At 46.1% G+C, this 15,608-nt stretch overlaps 1 protein-coding gene across 8 annotated transcripts in view; it reads right to left on the reverse strand.

Annotated features, from left to right (window-relative positions):
• Positions 1-6,309: 6,309 nt before the first annotated feature.
• Positions 6,310-15,608, reverse strand: part of CMKLR2 (chemerin chemokine-like receptor 2) — a 42,597-nt gene continuing 33,298 nt past the window's right edge. For all 8 annotated transcript variants that reach the window (NM_001098199.2, NM_005279.4, XM_047443968.1 and 5 more), the window contains one exon: positions 6,310-8,269. In NM_001098199.2, coding sequence (NP_001091669.1) covers positions 7,174-8,241 — 1,068 coding nt within the window. In that variant the 5' untranslated portion in view covers positions 8,242-8,269 and the 3' untranslated portion in view covers positions 6,310-7,173. The remainder of the gene's footprint in view (positions 8,270-15,608) is intronic.

A 15,608-nucleotide genomic window follows, 5' to 3' on the forward strand; every position in this document is an offset into this window, starting at 1 on the left:
TGGCTGAAGGGCCAATGTAGAGCTCGGGCCATGGCTTCAGACAGAGGGTGCAAGCCCCAAGCCTTGGCAGCTTCCATGTGGTGTTGAGCCTTCAAGTGCATAGATATCAAGAATTGAAGTTTGGGAACCTCTGCCTAGATTTCAGATGTATGGAAACACCAGAATGCCCAGGCAGAGGGGCAGGTCCTCATGGAGAACCTCTGTCAGGGTAGTGCAGAAGGGAAATGTGGGGTGGGAGCCCCCACACAGAGTTTCTACTGGGGCACTGCCTAGTGGAGCTGTGAGAAGAGAGCCATTGTCCTCCAGACCCCAGAATGGTAGATCCACTGACAGCTTACACCGTTCGCCTAGAAGAGCTTCAGGCACTCAATGTCAGCCTGTGAAGGCAGCCAGAAGGGAAGCTGTACCCTGCAAAGCCACAGGGGCGGAGCTTCCCAAGACTATGGGAACCTACTACCTCTTGATCAGCATGACCTGGATGTGAGACATGGAGTCAAAGGAGATCATTTTGGAGCATGTGCCACCACACCCTGCTAATTTTGTATTTATAGTAGAGACGGGGTTTCTCCATGTTGGTCAGGTTGGTCTCGAACTCCTGACCACAGGTGATCCACCCACCTCGGCCTCCCAAAGTGCTGGGATTATAGGTGTGAGCCACTGCACCCGGCCTGGACTCTGGACTTCTGAGTTAATGCTGAAATGAGACTTTGGAGGACTGTTGGGAAGGCGTGATTGGGTTTGAAATGTGAGGACATGAGATTTGGGAGGGGCTGGGGTGGAATGATATGGTTTGGCTATGTCCCCACCCAAATCTCATCTTGAATTTTCATGTGTTGTGGGAGGGACCCAATAGGAGGTAATTGAACCATGGGGCAGGTCTTTCCTGTGCTATTCTCGTGATAGCGAGTAAGTCTCATAAGATCTGACGGTTTTAAAAAGGGGAGTTTCCCTGTGCAAGCTCTCTTCTCTTGTCTGCCCTATGTGAGACATGCCTTTCGCCTTCCACCATGATTGTGAGGCCTCCCCAGTCAAGTGGAACTGTAAGTCCATTAAACCTCTTTCTTTTGTAAAACGCCCAGTCATGGGTATGTTTATCAGCAGCCTGAAAACGGACTGCTGCAAGTCAGATACCCTAAATCATCTCTCTCAAGTTCAAAGTTCCACAAATCTCTAGGGCAGGGGCAAAATGCCACCAGTCTCTTTGCTAAAACATAACAAGAGTGACCTTTGCTCAAGTTTCCAACAAGTTCCTCATCTCCGAGACCACCTTAGCCTGGACCTTATTGTTCGTATCACTATCAGCATTTTTGTCAAAGCCATTCAACAAGTCTCTAAGAAGTTACAAGCTTTCCCGCATTCTCCTATCTTCTTCTGAGCCCTCCAAATTGTTCCAACCTCTGCCTGTTACCCAGTTCCAATGTCACTTCCACATTTTCAGGTACCTTTTCAACAGTGACCCACTCTACTGGTGCCAATTTGCTGTATTTGTCTGTTTTCGCGCTGCTGATAAAGACATACCTGAGACTGGGCAATTTACAAAAGAAAGAGGTTGAGTTGGACTCACAGTTCCACATAGCTGCGGAGGCCTCACAATCATGGTGGAAGTTAAGGAGGAGCAAGCCACATCTTCTGTGGATGGTGGCAGGCAAAAAGACTGCTCCCTTCATAATTTTCAAAAGAAAATTGAGAAATTATAGAAATGGAAATATGTTTTTAAACTTGTAGTGAGTAGCAGAGTCAGATAAGACAAAGACTCTAGCAGAGACAGGGATAAGAGGCGGATCTTCAGAAGAGACTGGGATAAGGGGTGGATCTTTGGGAAACCCCAAAGACAAAGATACAGATTTCCAGTGTTTCTTCACCTCCACAGTTGGATGGAATCTCTTTCCTCTGAACAATCTGCACTTCTCCTTGGCTCTCTTATGACACTTATTATTTTCTACCTTATTTTAGGATTTTAAAAAAAAAATTTTTTTTTTAATTTTATTTTTTTTTAATTGATCATTCTTGGGTGTTTCTCACAGAGGGGGATTTGGCAGGGTCATAGGACACTAGTGGAGGGAAGGTCAGCAGACAAACAAGTGAACAAAGGTCTCTGGTTTTCCTAGGCAGAGTGTGTGTGTCCCTGGGTACTTGAGATTAGGGAATGGTGATGACTCTTAATGAGCATGCTGCCTTCAAGCATCTGTTTAACAAAGCACATCTTGCACCGCCCTTAATCCATTTAACCCTGAGTGGACACAGCACATGTTTCAGAGAGCACAGGGTTGGGGGTAAGGTCATAGATCAACAGGATCCCAAGGCAGAAGAATTTTTCTTAGTACAGAACAAAATGAAAAGTCTCCCATGTCTACTTCTTTCTACACAGACACGGCAACCATCCGATTTCTCAATCTTTTCCCCACCTTGCCCCCTTTTCTATTCCAGAAAACCGCCGTCGTCATCATGGCCCATTCTCAATGAGCTGTTGGGTACACCTCCCAGACGGGGTGGTGGCCGGGCAGAGGGGCTCCTCACTTCCCAGTAGGGGTGGCCGGGCAGAGGCGCCCCTCAGCTCCCAGACCGGGTGGCTGGCCAGGCGGGGGGCTGACCCCCCCACCTCCCTCCCGGACGGGGCGGCTGGCTGGGCAGAGGGGCTCCTGGCTGGGCAGAGGGGCTCCTCACTTCCCAGTAGGGGCGGCCGGGCAGAGGTGCCCCTCACCTCCCGGATGGGGCGGCTGGCCGGGCGGGGGGCTGACCCCCACCTCCCTCCCGGACGGGGTGGCTGCCGGGCGGAGACGCTCCTCACTTCCCAGACAGGGTGGCAGCCAGGCGGAGGGGCTCCTCACTTCTCAGACAGGGCGGTTGCCAGGAGGAGGGTCTCCTCACTTCTCAGACGGGGCGGCCGGGCAGAGACGCTCCTCACCTCCCAGACGGGGTCGCGGCCGGGCCGAGGCGCTCCTCACATCCCAGACGGGGCGGCAGGGCAGAGGCGCTCCCCACATCTCAGAGGATGGGCTGCGGGGCAGAGACGCTCCTCACTTCCTAGATGGGATGGCGGCCGGGACGAGGCGCTCCTCACTTCCCAGGTGGGATGGCGGCCGGGCAGAGACGCTCCTCACTTTCCAGACTGGCAGCCAGGCAGAGGGGCTCCTCACATCCCAGACGATGGGCAGCCAGGCAGAGAGGCTCCTCACTTCCCAGACGGGGTGGCGGCCGGGCAGAGGCTGCAATCTCCGCACTTTGCAGGGCCAAGGCAGGCGGCTGGGAGGTGGAGGCCGTAGCGAGCCGAGATCACGCCACTGCACTCCAGCCTGGGCACCATTGAGCACTGAGTGAATGAGACTCCGTCTGCAATCCCGGCACCTCGGGAGGCCGAGGCTGGCGGATCACTCGCGGCTAGGAGCTGGAGACCAGTCCGGCCAACACAGCGAAACCCCGTCCCCACCAAAAAAACACGAAAACCAGTCAGGCGTGGCGGCGCGCGCCTGCAATCGCAGGCACTCGGCAGGCTGAGGCAGGAGAATCAGGCAGGGAGGCTGCAGCGAGCCGAGATGGCAGCAGTACAGTCCAGCTTTGGCCCAGCATGAGAGGGAGACTGTGGAAAGGAGAGGGAGAGGGAGACGGGAGAGGGAGAGGGAGACGGGAGAGGGAGAGGGAGACGGGAGAGGGAGAGGGAGACGGGAGAGGGAGAGGGAGACGGGAGAGGGAGAGGGAGACGGGAGAGGGAGAGGGAGACGGGAGAGGGAGAGGGAGAGGGAGAGGGAGAGGGAGACGGGAGAGGGAGAGGGAGAGGGAGAGGGAGAGGGAGACGGGAGAGGGAGAGGGAGAGGGAGACGGGAGAGGGAGAGGGAGACGGGAGAGGGAGAGGGAGAGGGAGACGGGAGAGGGAGAGGGAGAGGGAGACGGGAGAGGGAGAGGGAGAGGGAGACGGGAGAGGGAGAGGGAGAGGGAGACGGGAGAGGGAGAGGGAGAGGGAGACGGGAGAGGGAGAGGGAGACGGGAGAGGGAGAGGGAGACGGGAGAGGGAGACGGGAGAGGGAGAGGGAGACGGGAGAGGGAGACGGGAGAGGGAGAGGGAGACGGGAGAGGGAGAGGGAGACGGGAGAGGGAGAGGGAGACGGGAGAGGGAGAGGGAGACGGGAGAGGGAGAGGGAGAGGGAGACGGGAGAGGGCTATTTTAGGATTTTTAATGCAGGTTTAATCTCACTTTCTAAACCCATTCCATGCTGTGCAGTTTCCTCAACCATCAAAGTCTGAGGAAGCTGAGAGGCTAAAGAGGCTGACATACCCAGTTTCTTGGAAAGAAACATTTGATAGAGACTTACGAACAGAAGCCATATCTGTGTCTTGGACAGTGGTGAGACAAGACGGTGGATCCCCGCACCATTACCTGCAAGACCCAGGGCTTATATACCTTAGGGAAAGAGTGATTTGGAAGGGATGTGTAGTCTAAAATTCAACAGATTTGCACCATGAAGAGGTCACTGACCTAAAGGTATGCTTTATTGATCTTACACTGGTGTCTATATAAATATAGGAATAGAAGGTGGAAATATATCAATATGTCCATGATTTTTCTGAAATCATTCTGAAATTAGACTGGTCTGTTTGCCATCTGAATGTCAGTGTTTTCATATATACCCTTAGTTTATACACGTTTACATAGCCATTTCCTTTTTTTTTAAATTTCAACTTTTATTTTAGTTAGTGGGGGTACATGTGCAGATTCATTACGTGGGAATATTGTGTGATGCTGAGGTTTAAAGTATGAATCCTCTCACCCTGGTAGTGAGCACAGTACCCCAACAGGTGGTTGTTTTTTTTTTTTGAGACCAAGTCTCGCTCTGTTGCCCAGGCTGGAGTGCAGTGGCTCAATCTCAGCTCACTGCAACCTCTACCTCCTGGGTTCAAGTGATTCTTCTGCCTCAGCCTCCTGAGTAGCTGGGATTACAGGCACATGCCACCACGCCCAGCTAATTTTTTGGATTTTTAGTAGAGATGGGGTTTCACCATGTTGGTCAGGCTGGTCTCGAATTCCTGACCTTGTGATCCACCCCTCCTCGGCCTCCCAAAGTGCTGGAATTACAAGTGTGAGCCACTGAACCCAGCCGCCCAGGCTTTTTTTTTTTTTTTTTTTTTTTTTTTTTTTTTTTGAGACAGTCTTACTCTGTTGCCCAGGCTAGAGTGCAGTGGCGCAATCTCGGTTCACTGCAACCTCCGCCTCCCAGGTTCAAGTGATTCTCTTGCCTCAGCCTCCCGAGTAGCTGGGACTACAGGTGCGTGCCACCACACCTGGCTAATTTTTGTATTTTTAGTAGAGACGGGGTTTCACCTTGTTGACCAGGCTGGTCTTGAACTCCTGACTTCAGGTGACCCGCCTATCTTGGCCTCCCAAAGTGCGGGGATTACAGGCATTAGCCACCGAGCCCAGCCTCAGCTCCCACTTACAAGTGAGAACATGCAGTATTTGGTTTTCTGTCCTGCACTAATTTACTTAGGATAATGGCCTCCAGTTCCATCCATGTTGCTGCAAAGGACACGATTTCATTCTTTTTTATGGCTGTGCAGTAGTCCATGATGTATATGTACCACACTTTGTTTATCCAATCTACCATTGATAGGTACCTGATACCCAGAATTTTCTAAAAGCATTTCTGTTTATAATGATACCGTAGAGGATTAAAGATTGGTGCAATTTTTTTTGACATTCTTTCCGTTGAGAGATGGGGATCTGTGTCTCTTCCCCTTGAACATGAGCTGGTCTATGCCTGCTTTGACCAATACAATACAATAGAAGTGATACTGTACCTGTGCCAGTCATAGCCTTTAACAGGACTAGAAATTTCCACCTTGGCCTCTTGGAGCCCTGAGTTGCCACATTAGAAGTCTGGCGACCCTGAAATGCCATGGTGGAATAGCTGTGTTGGGAGGGGAGAGGGAGGGAGGGAAGGGGATGTCTTAGGCAGCTTCCAGCTTCGATTTGCATCATCTCAGTCCAGCTGATGCTCCAGATATTGCAAAGCAGAGAGAGATGAACCTCTTTTCTGACTTCTTTGAATTCCTGACCCTCAGAATTGTGAGAATTATATCAAAAGTATAAACTGTTTTAAGAACTAGGTTTAGGAGGAGTTTATTAAGCATCATTAGTTAACTGGGTTTTTGGAGTGTGGCGACGGTATTTGTGGACACTGTCCCAGGAACATGAGCTGTCATATCCCCTCCTCTTCCACTTCCCATTGCAACCAATAAAGGCTGTTCCTACTATAAAAAACAGAGAGAGTGGGAGAAAGAAGAAAAAATCTCCCAAATCATTAACTAGAACAGATGTTTTAAGATAACCAACAATTACTTTAATTCATAAATGTATATACATAGATTACATAAAGAAATTAAGTACACATGTTGCATTTTAAAAATGTGTCTAGCAGGTTATTGTACAAAATTAAAATGAATTTAAGAATACATTTTAACATTTTTAAAATTAGTTAATCATATATTTATTTATCTATTTTATTTATTTATTTTTGAGACAGAGTTTTACTCTTGTTGCCCAGGCTGGAGTGCAATGGTGTGATGTTGGCTCACCACAACCTCTGCCTCCCAGGTTCAAGTGATTCTCCTGCTTCAGCCTCCCGAGTAGCTGGGTTTGCAGACATGCACCACCATGACCGGCTAATTTTGTATTTTTAGTAGAGACGGGGTTTCTCCATGTTGGTCAGGCTGGTCTCGAATTCCTGACCTCGGGTAATCCCCCCACCTTGGCCTCCCAAAGTGCTGGGATTACAGGTGTCAGCCACCGTGCCTGGCTAATCATATATTTAATATTAAGACTTAAGGCTTTAGAAAAGTTATTATTCAAAAAATAACTGATATTGCTTCAAAAGTGATTAATTCACCATGGTATAATTAACAAGAATGATGCATTTCATTTAAGTTGCAGAAAAAAATTATGCGGATCCTTCCTAAGTATTTTCAGTTTTTTAAAAAAAATTTATTGCCACATCACAAGGAGTCAAGAGGATCCTTCCTAAGTTTCATATCCACACAAAAATGTGATGCCTATATAGTGACCAGAAACAATAACTATGAAAGTGGAGTCGGCTCTCTATCTTGGAAACAATTTTAATCTGAAAGCATCAGTCAGAGGACCCACATAAAAAGCCATATACTGATTTGTGGAAAAGTAATAACTTATTGAGCTGTTTCCAGGAGACACAGATTCTTGGTTTCTGAGTTCCTGAGCTGTTCACTCACTGTGCCAGAACAGCTGACTTCCCACAGTGTGTACTTGAGTATCTCAGCAACTGAGGACCGGAAGCGAGCTTGGAACTTCTTACTAATTAGGACATAAAGGATGGGGTTCAAGCAACTATTGAGGAATGCCAAACCAGTGGAGAGGGGGATTCCAGCCTGCATCACATGGTGGGAATAGCTATTGTGGTGAATGGTGAGCTCCCAAATGCTAAACAGGTGATAAGGAGTCCAGCAAACCACAAAGGCCACAACCACAACCAGAATTGTCCAGAAATGCCTACTGGAGATCAGGATGCTTCGCTTCTTCACCTTGAAGATGAGACACAAGTAGCAAATACTCATTGTTAGCAAAGGGAAGAGATAGCCAATGATAAATTTCACCCAAGTCAGAACATGGTGCCTGATCAAAGTGAGGTCAGGATCATGCTTCTGAAAATTGTTATAGCAAAGAGTATGATTATTGAACTCCACAGTGTCCCGGAAGTACAGGGCAGGACCGCCAATTAGAGAAGCCAAAAGCCAGATGAATATAATGACAATCAGAGAGTTCTTGAGGGTTCGATGCCGATGAGATAAGACAGGATGGATCAAGTGGATATAGTGGTCCAGGCTGATCACTGTCAGGAAAAAAACACTGGCAAACATGTTCAACTGGGCAGTGAAGGAATTGGCTTTGCACAGCCAGATGCCAAAGGGCCAGTGGAAATTCATGGCCACATAGGAGATGTACAGGGGCAGAAAGAGAAGAAAAATGAAATCCGCAATGGCTAGATTGAGGAACCACAGAGTGGTGACTGTCTTCTTCCACTTGAACCCCGTGAACCAAATGACGATGGCATTTCCTGGAATTCCCAGAACAAAAGCCAAACAATATAACACCAGGGAGACCCAGTGAACAACTCCCAGCTGGACTTTCTCCTCCAAATCAGACTCCAGAGAGTAATAGTCTAGGTCATAGGAATAGTTTTCAAATTCTTCAAATAATGTTTCCTCCAAATCTTCCATGACCTTGCTAAATGGAGAATGAAGAAATCTGTAGAAGCAAATTTAAAAAGAAAGAAAAAATTTTAAAAGAAAAATAAAAGTTCAGTGAATGATAAGGAACGTGAAGATAAAAATATTTCAGGTTATGGACCAGACATAGTATTATTTTTTCTTTTTTTTGAGACAGGGTCTCACTCTGTTGCCCAAGCTGGAGTGCAATGGCATGCTTTTGGCTCACTGCAGCCTTGACCTCCTAGGCTCAAGTGCCTCCTACCTCAGCCACCCCAATAACTAGGACCACAGGTGCTCATGACCATGCCCAGCTAATTTTTAAATTTTTTGTAGAGATGAGGTCTCACTATGTTGCCCAGGCTGGTCTTGAACTCCTGGGCTCAAGTGATCCTCCTACCTCAGCCTCCCAAAGTGCTGGGATTATAGGCATGAGCAACTATACCCAGCAAATATAGTATATTTTTTGATAGGACTTGTGGTTATACTCCATATGTTCAAGTCTTGGTGAGCCTCAGTTTCACTCTGATTATCATTCTCCCAGCATGAGAGTTCCTTTCTGTAAAGTATTTAGTACTTGCTAAATTAAAATGAATGACTCTACGGTTATAATTCTTCAGTTCGTAATGCTTGTAGGGCTGACTAGAGAGAATTCAACAAGCATTTATTAGATTCCTACTATGCATTATTATTTTATGGCAGATGCAAAAGAAAACGGATTAATACTTACAGAGTGATAGCTTCAAAATCTGTATTTCAGCCAGACACAGTGGCTCACACCTGTAATCCCAGCACTTTGGGAGGCTGAGACAGGGAGATTGCTTGAGACCAGCCTGGGAAATATAGCAAAAACCTGTCTCTACAAAAAATAAATTTTTAAAATAGCCAGATCTAGTGGCTCATGCTGTAGTCCCAACTACTCAGGAGGCCAAGGCAAGAGGATTGCATGAGCCCAGGAGTTTGAGGCTGCAGCGAGCTATGATCAAGCCACTGCACTCCAGCCTGGGCAACAGAGCAGGACCCCACCTCAAAACAAATTTTTTCCTGAAAAATCTGGATTTGTTGTTGCCCTGACTTCTTAAACTCTAGATAAAGAGTTCCTACTATTTCCTAGACCAATCCATCTGGATGTCACTGGAGATTTTGACCTGAGATTTTGCATCCAAGGATGTTTTGAGTCCATGTTTATGAAAGCAAACATAGTAATCAGAATTATATCAATATGGATGGCTTCTCATCCAAAAGGTAGCTTTTGGATTAAATTTGATTATGACCACTTAATTTCTATATTAATTTCCTACAGAATGCAATTAAGCTTTATTTAAATTTTTATCTTATTGAAATAATTCTTTTCCATAATAATTTATGACAAAGATTAGATTTTTTTTTGAGACAGCCTTCTATTTTTGTTTTGTTTGTTTGTTTGTTTGTTTTTTTGAGACAACCTCCCGTTACAGAGGCTGGAATGCATGGCACGATCTCGGCTCACTGTAGCCTTTGCTTCCTGGGCTCAAGCAATTCTCCTGTTTGAGCCTCCTGAGTAGTTGGGATTACAGATGCTGGCTACCACTCCTGGCTAATTTTTGTATTTTTAGTAGAGACAGGGTTTCACCATGTTGACCAGGCTGGTCTCAAACTCCTGATCTCAAGTGATCCACCCATCTCAGCCTCCCAAAGTGCTGGGATTACAGGTGTAAGCCAGAGTGCCTGGCCAAAGATTGGATTTATTAATCAGTTTTACTTTATTTTTGCCCATACCAAATTTTGTCTCTTATAATTTCTACCAAAGTAAGTTTTATTTTGTGCCCGCTCCCTGTCCCTTTTTTTTTTTTTTTTTTTTTTTTTTTTTTTTTTTTTGAGACAGAATTTTGCTCTTGTTGACCAGGCTGGAGTGCAATGGTGTGATCTTGGCTCACCTCAACCTCACCTCCCGGGTTCAAGCAATTCTCCTGCCTCAGCCTCCCGAGTAGCTGGAATTACAGGCATGTGCCACTACGCCCAGCTAATTTTTGTGTTTTTAGTAGAGACAGGGTTTCTCCATGTTGGTCAGGGTGGTCTCGAACTCCCGACTTCCGGTGATTCGCCCACCTTGGCCTCCCAAAGTGCTGGGATTACAGGCATGAGCCACCGCACCCAGCCTTTTTTTTTTTTTTTTTTTTTTGAGACGGAGTCTTGCTTGTTACCAGGCTGGAGTGCAGTGGCGCCATCTCGGCTCATTGCAACCTCCACCTCCCGGGTTCAAGTGATTCTCCTGCCTCAGCCTCCAGGTATTTTTAGTAGAGACAGGGTTTCACCATGTTGGCCAGGATGGTCTCGATCTCTTGACCTCGTGATCCACCCACCTGGGCCTCCCAAAGTGCTGGGATTACAGGAATAAGCCACCGCGCCCTGCCCCTCTGCCTTTTTTCTTATCAAGACCAGTTTTTCTGGGTTAAGAAGACTTGAATGTCAGTTTTTCAATCAGCACAAAAGTATACTGTGTGTAACTCTGTCTTCTTCCATTTTATTTTGTGCTATTTCTATCTGTAGTATTGAATGAAGATCAAGCAGAAAAAAGATTAATAGTTATATTCATTTCATGGAGTTACAATCATACATGAGGCAAGTATGTAAAATTTTAGATTATAGTAGGGTTAGAATAAAGAGGTCAAAACATCCTGTGTTGCTCACAGGCATCTCAAATTCAATTTGACTATCGCTGAATTCATCATCCTACCTAAAACCTTCTGAGAAATCCGGCAGGGCAAAAAACAGAAGCAATTTATTCCCTTCCTCCCAACCCTAGCCCAGCAACTTTTTTGTTCTTCAATATTCAATTCAAATGCCACCTTTCTTAGAAACATTTTCTGACTTACCTTCCTGCAGATAATTATAATAATTATTATTGTTATTATTAAAACAATTTATAATAAAATGATAGTCAATGTTATTGAGAATTTACTAGATGCCAGACATGTATGATCTAATTTGATCCTCATAAGAATCTTACATACACTTGTAATCCCAGTGCTTTGGGAGGCCAAGGCAGGAGGATTGCTTGAGCCTAAGAGTTTGAGACAAGCCTGGACAACAAAGTGAGAAACTGTCTCTTAAAAAAAAAAAAAAGATCTTACATTGTGGGTAAGTACAGGTGACCCTTGAAAAACATGGGGGGTGCCTAGAGGCGCTGACCCCACACACAGTAAAAAAAATTTACATAAAACTTTTCGTTGTTATTGAGACATAGTCTGCCACTGTCACCCAGGTCAGAACGCAGTGGCACAATCATAGCTCACTGCAGCCTCAAACTCCTAGGCTCAAGTCATTCTCCCACCTCCACCTCCCAAGTAGCTGGGACTACAGAAGTACATCACCATGCCTGGCTGATATTTTTATTTTTGTAGAGATGGGGTCTTGTTATGTTGCCCAGGCTGGTCTTGAACTCTTGGCCTTAAGTGATTCTCTTGCCTCAGCCTCCCAGAGTGCTGGAATTACAGGAGTGAGTAACTGTGCCCAGCCCATTATTATTATTATTATTATTATTATTATTATTATTTTGAGACAGAGTCTTGCCCTGTTGCCCAAGCTGGAGTGCAGTGGTACAATCTCGTCTCACTGTAACCTCCGCCTCCCGGGTTCAAGTGATTCTCCTGCCTCAGCCTCCCTAATAGCTGGGATTACAGGTGTCTGTCACCACGCCTTGCTAATTTTTATATTTATAGTAGAGATGGTGTTTCACTTTGTTGGCCAGGCTGGTCTTGAACTCCTGACGTCAGGTGATCCGCCCACCTTGGCCTCCCAAAGTGTTGTATTGGGATTTTAGGCATAAGCTACCATGCCCGGACTTATTATTATTATTGAGACCAACTCTCTCACTCTGATGCCCAGGCTGGAGTGCAGTGGTGCGATCTCGGCTCACTGCAACCTCTGCCTCCTAGGTTCAAGTGATTCTCCTCCCTCAGCCTCCCAAGTACCTGGGACTACAGGCTTTTGCCACCATGCTGGCTAATTTTTGTATTTTTAGTAGAGACAGAGTTTCACCATGTTGGCCAGGCTGGCTGTCTTGATCTCCTGACCTCAAGTAATCTGCCCATCTCAGTCTCCCAAAGTGCTGGGATTACAGGTGTGAGCCACCATGCCTGGCCCTATTATTTTTTTTTTTAGAAACGAGTATCACTATGTTGCCCAGGCTGGATTCAAATTCCTGAGCTCAAGGATTCCTCCCAACTCAGCCTCCTAAGTAGCTGAGACTACAGGAACATACCACCAAACTTGACTTGCATATAACTTTTGACTCCCCCAAAACTTAACTATTAATAGCCTTCTGTTGATCAAAAGCCTTACTAATGACATAAAGTATCAATTAACACATATTTTGTATGTTTTATGTATTATATACGTATTCTTGCAATAAAGTAAGCCAGTGAAAAGAAAATGTTATTAGGAAATCATAAGGGGCTGAGAGCAGTGGCTCACGCCTATAATCCCAGCACTTCGGGAGGCCGAGGTGGGTGAATCATCTAAGGTCAGGAATTCGAGACCAGCCTGACTGACATGGTGAAACCCTGTCTCTACTAAAAATACAAAATTAGCCGGGTATGGTGGTGCATGCCTGTAATCCCAGCTGCTTGGGAGGCTGAGACAGGAGAATTGCCTGAACTGGGAGGTGGAGGTTTTAGTGAGCCAAGATCATACCACTGCACTCCAGCCTGGGTAACAAGAGCAAAACTCCACCTCAAAAAAAAAAAAAAAAAAAAAAGGAAACCATAAGGAAGAAAACATGTATTTACTAGCCATTAAGTGGAAGTGGACCATCATAAAGGGCTTCATCCTCATCATCTTTACAATAAGTAGGTTGTGGAGGGGGAAGAAGATGGGTGAGTCTTGCTGTCTCGGGGTGGTAGGGGCAGAGGGAGAAAATCTATGCCTAAGTGAATCTGCACAGTTGAAACCCATGTTGTTCAAGGATCAACTGTACTATTATTGGTCTCATTTTTAACAAACAACACTGAAGCTTATAGAAGCTTAGTAACTTACTCAAGATCACACAACCTGCAATTGCAGAGTCAGGATCTAAAGTCAGATCTGTTGGACCCATGGCCTGAGCTCTTAACCACTACAGCATTCCCCCTTCTGTCATACTTGTCTTATCACACTTAACACGTTATGTTGTCATTAATTTATTTTTAATTTCTTCTCTATTAGACTGTGAACTCTTTGAGAATAAGGACTGTCATGGCTGTACCCCCAGTGCCTTGTACACCTTAATATATCACAGGTGATTAACAGATGCTTAAGAAATGATTGGCTCCCATTCCAAACCAAAGATAATTTTAAAACTTCAGGTGAGATTTTGTGAGTTCACCCCTAAGTCAGGGTCACTGCCAGACTCTCTCCAACCTTGACCCACAGTTCCTTTTTTTTTTGGATGGAGTCTCACTTTGTCACCCAGGCTGGAGTGCAGTGGCGTGATCTCGGCTCATGCAACCTTTGTCCCCCGAGTTCAAGTGATTCTCCTGCCTCAGCCTCCAGAATAGTTGGGATTACAACTGCCACCATGCCCCGCTAATTTTTTTTGTATTTTTAGTAGAAACAAGGTTTCACCTTCTTGGCCAGGCTGGTCTTGAACTCCTGACCTCGTGATCCACCCGTCTCAGCCTCCCAAAGTGCTGCGATTACAGGAGTGAGCCACCGCACCTGGCTGACCCACAGTTCTATCATCAGGATCTTGGCTTATTCCTGGACACCAAATCCCTTCCTTCGTGTGTCCTATTCCAGTGAGCAAGAATTGGCTCCTGTCATGCTGCCCCATTCTTTCAGGCCTGGGATCTCACTCTGCCCTCTCACTTACTCCTTCTGGTGGCTGACTCTCCCCAGTGTCAGATCCTTCCCAGCTTAGTCTAAAACTTTGTCTTTTCTGTGTACTAGGACATCCTTACCTTACAGGTGCCTATGATCTGTTCCTTTAGGCTGTTAGCAATTCAGAAGCCATATGGCCCATGGGGTGGTCTGAATCACCTTATAAAACCCTAAACAGAATCTCATTCCCCAAACAAAGAAAAGCCCATGGAAGACCCCTAATAGCTTCTAACCACTATCCTCACCAAAAGTCAGGAGCCTCCCCTTCCAATGTCATTATTGACCCTGCTGGGACAGTGTGATCATCGCAGGGCCTGTTGAAGGCAACCGTCTTCTTCCGCATTCTGTTGGGGCAGGGGATTGGAGGGTGGGATACTGGTATGTTTACGTGTGTGTGTGTATGCCTTGAGGATGAGTGATCTATCTGAATAGAACACCTTCAAACAGAAAGCCCTGCACCAGAGAGGTTCCTAATCTTCCAGGAAGCAGATGAACACATTAGATTTAAGGTGTAGTTCAGCCTTGGAGAAAAAGCTTCAAGAACAGCTGGTTGATGCTCACCTGAATCCTTTATGGGAAATAGGAGCTTAGGAATTCCCCTAAGACTTACAGCAGATGTTTTTGTTTGATGATGATGGTGAGGGGTAGGGATAGAGTGGAGAAAAGAGAAACGGCAGAACTTAGCAACTGTCCTACTGAGTCCTTGAGTAGACACAGTTAACTTTTGAAGACATACTCTTGTTTACCTATTATAACTTGTTTGGCCACTGCTTTACAGTTTTCAGGTACTTCCAGATCTAAGTAAGTTTCCAGACCTCATTTAAACCTTCCCAAATATCTAGAGACTAAATGTATTCATTTCCTAGGGCTGCTGTAACAAAGCAACAGAAACTGGTTGGCCTAAGACAACAGAAATGTATTGTCTCACAGTCTGGAGACTAAGTCTGAAATCAAGGTTGTTTCCTTCTGAGGGCTGTCCTGGAACATCTTTTCCATGGCTCTTGCCTAGCTTCTTGTGGTTTGCTGGCAAACTTTGGCCTTCCTTGGCTTGTACATGTGTTACGCTGATCTCTGCCTACATCTTCACATAGCATTCTCCCTGTGTGACTGTCTAAATTTCCCCTTTATATAAACACACCAGTCATTTTGAATTAGGGCCCACCCTAATACCTCATTCTATTTTCTATTCTATTGCCTCTGTAAAAACCCCATTTCTCTCTCTCTCTCTTTTTTTTTTTTTTAAGACAGGTTTCGCTCTTGTTGCCTAGGCTTGAGTGCAGTGGCATGATCTCGGTTCACTGCAACCTCCGTCTCCCGGTTTCAAGCGATTCTTCTGCCTCAGCCTCCTGAGTAGCTGGGACTACAGATGTGCGCCACCACATACGGCTAATTTTTTTATTTTTAGTAAAGACGGGGTTTCACTATATTGGCCAGGCTGGTCTCAAACTCCTGACCTCGTGATCCAGCCGCCTCGGCCTCCCAAAGTGCTGGGATTACAGGTGTGAGCCACCGTGCCCAACCTAGACCCCATTTCAAATAAG

Source organism: Homo sapiens, chromosome 2 (assembly GCF_000001405.40).
Source record: "Homo sapiens chromosome 2, GRCh38.p14 Primary Assembly".
In the NCBI taxonomy this organism is placed as follows: domain Eukaryota; kingdom Metazoa; phylum Chordata; class Mammalia; order Primates; family Hominidae; genus Homo; species Homo sapiens.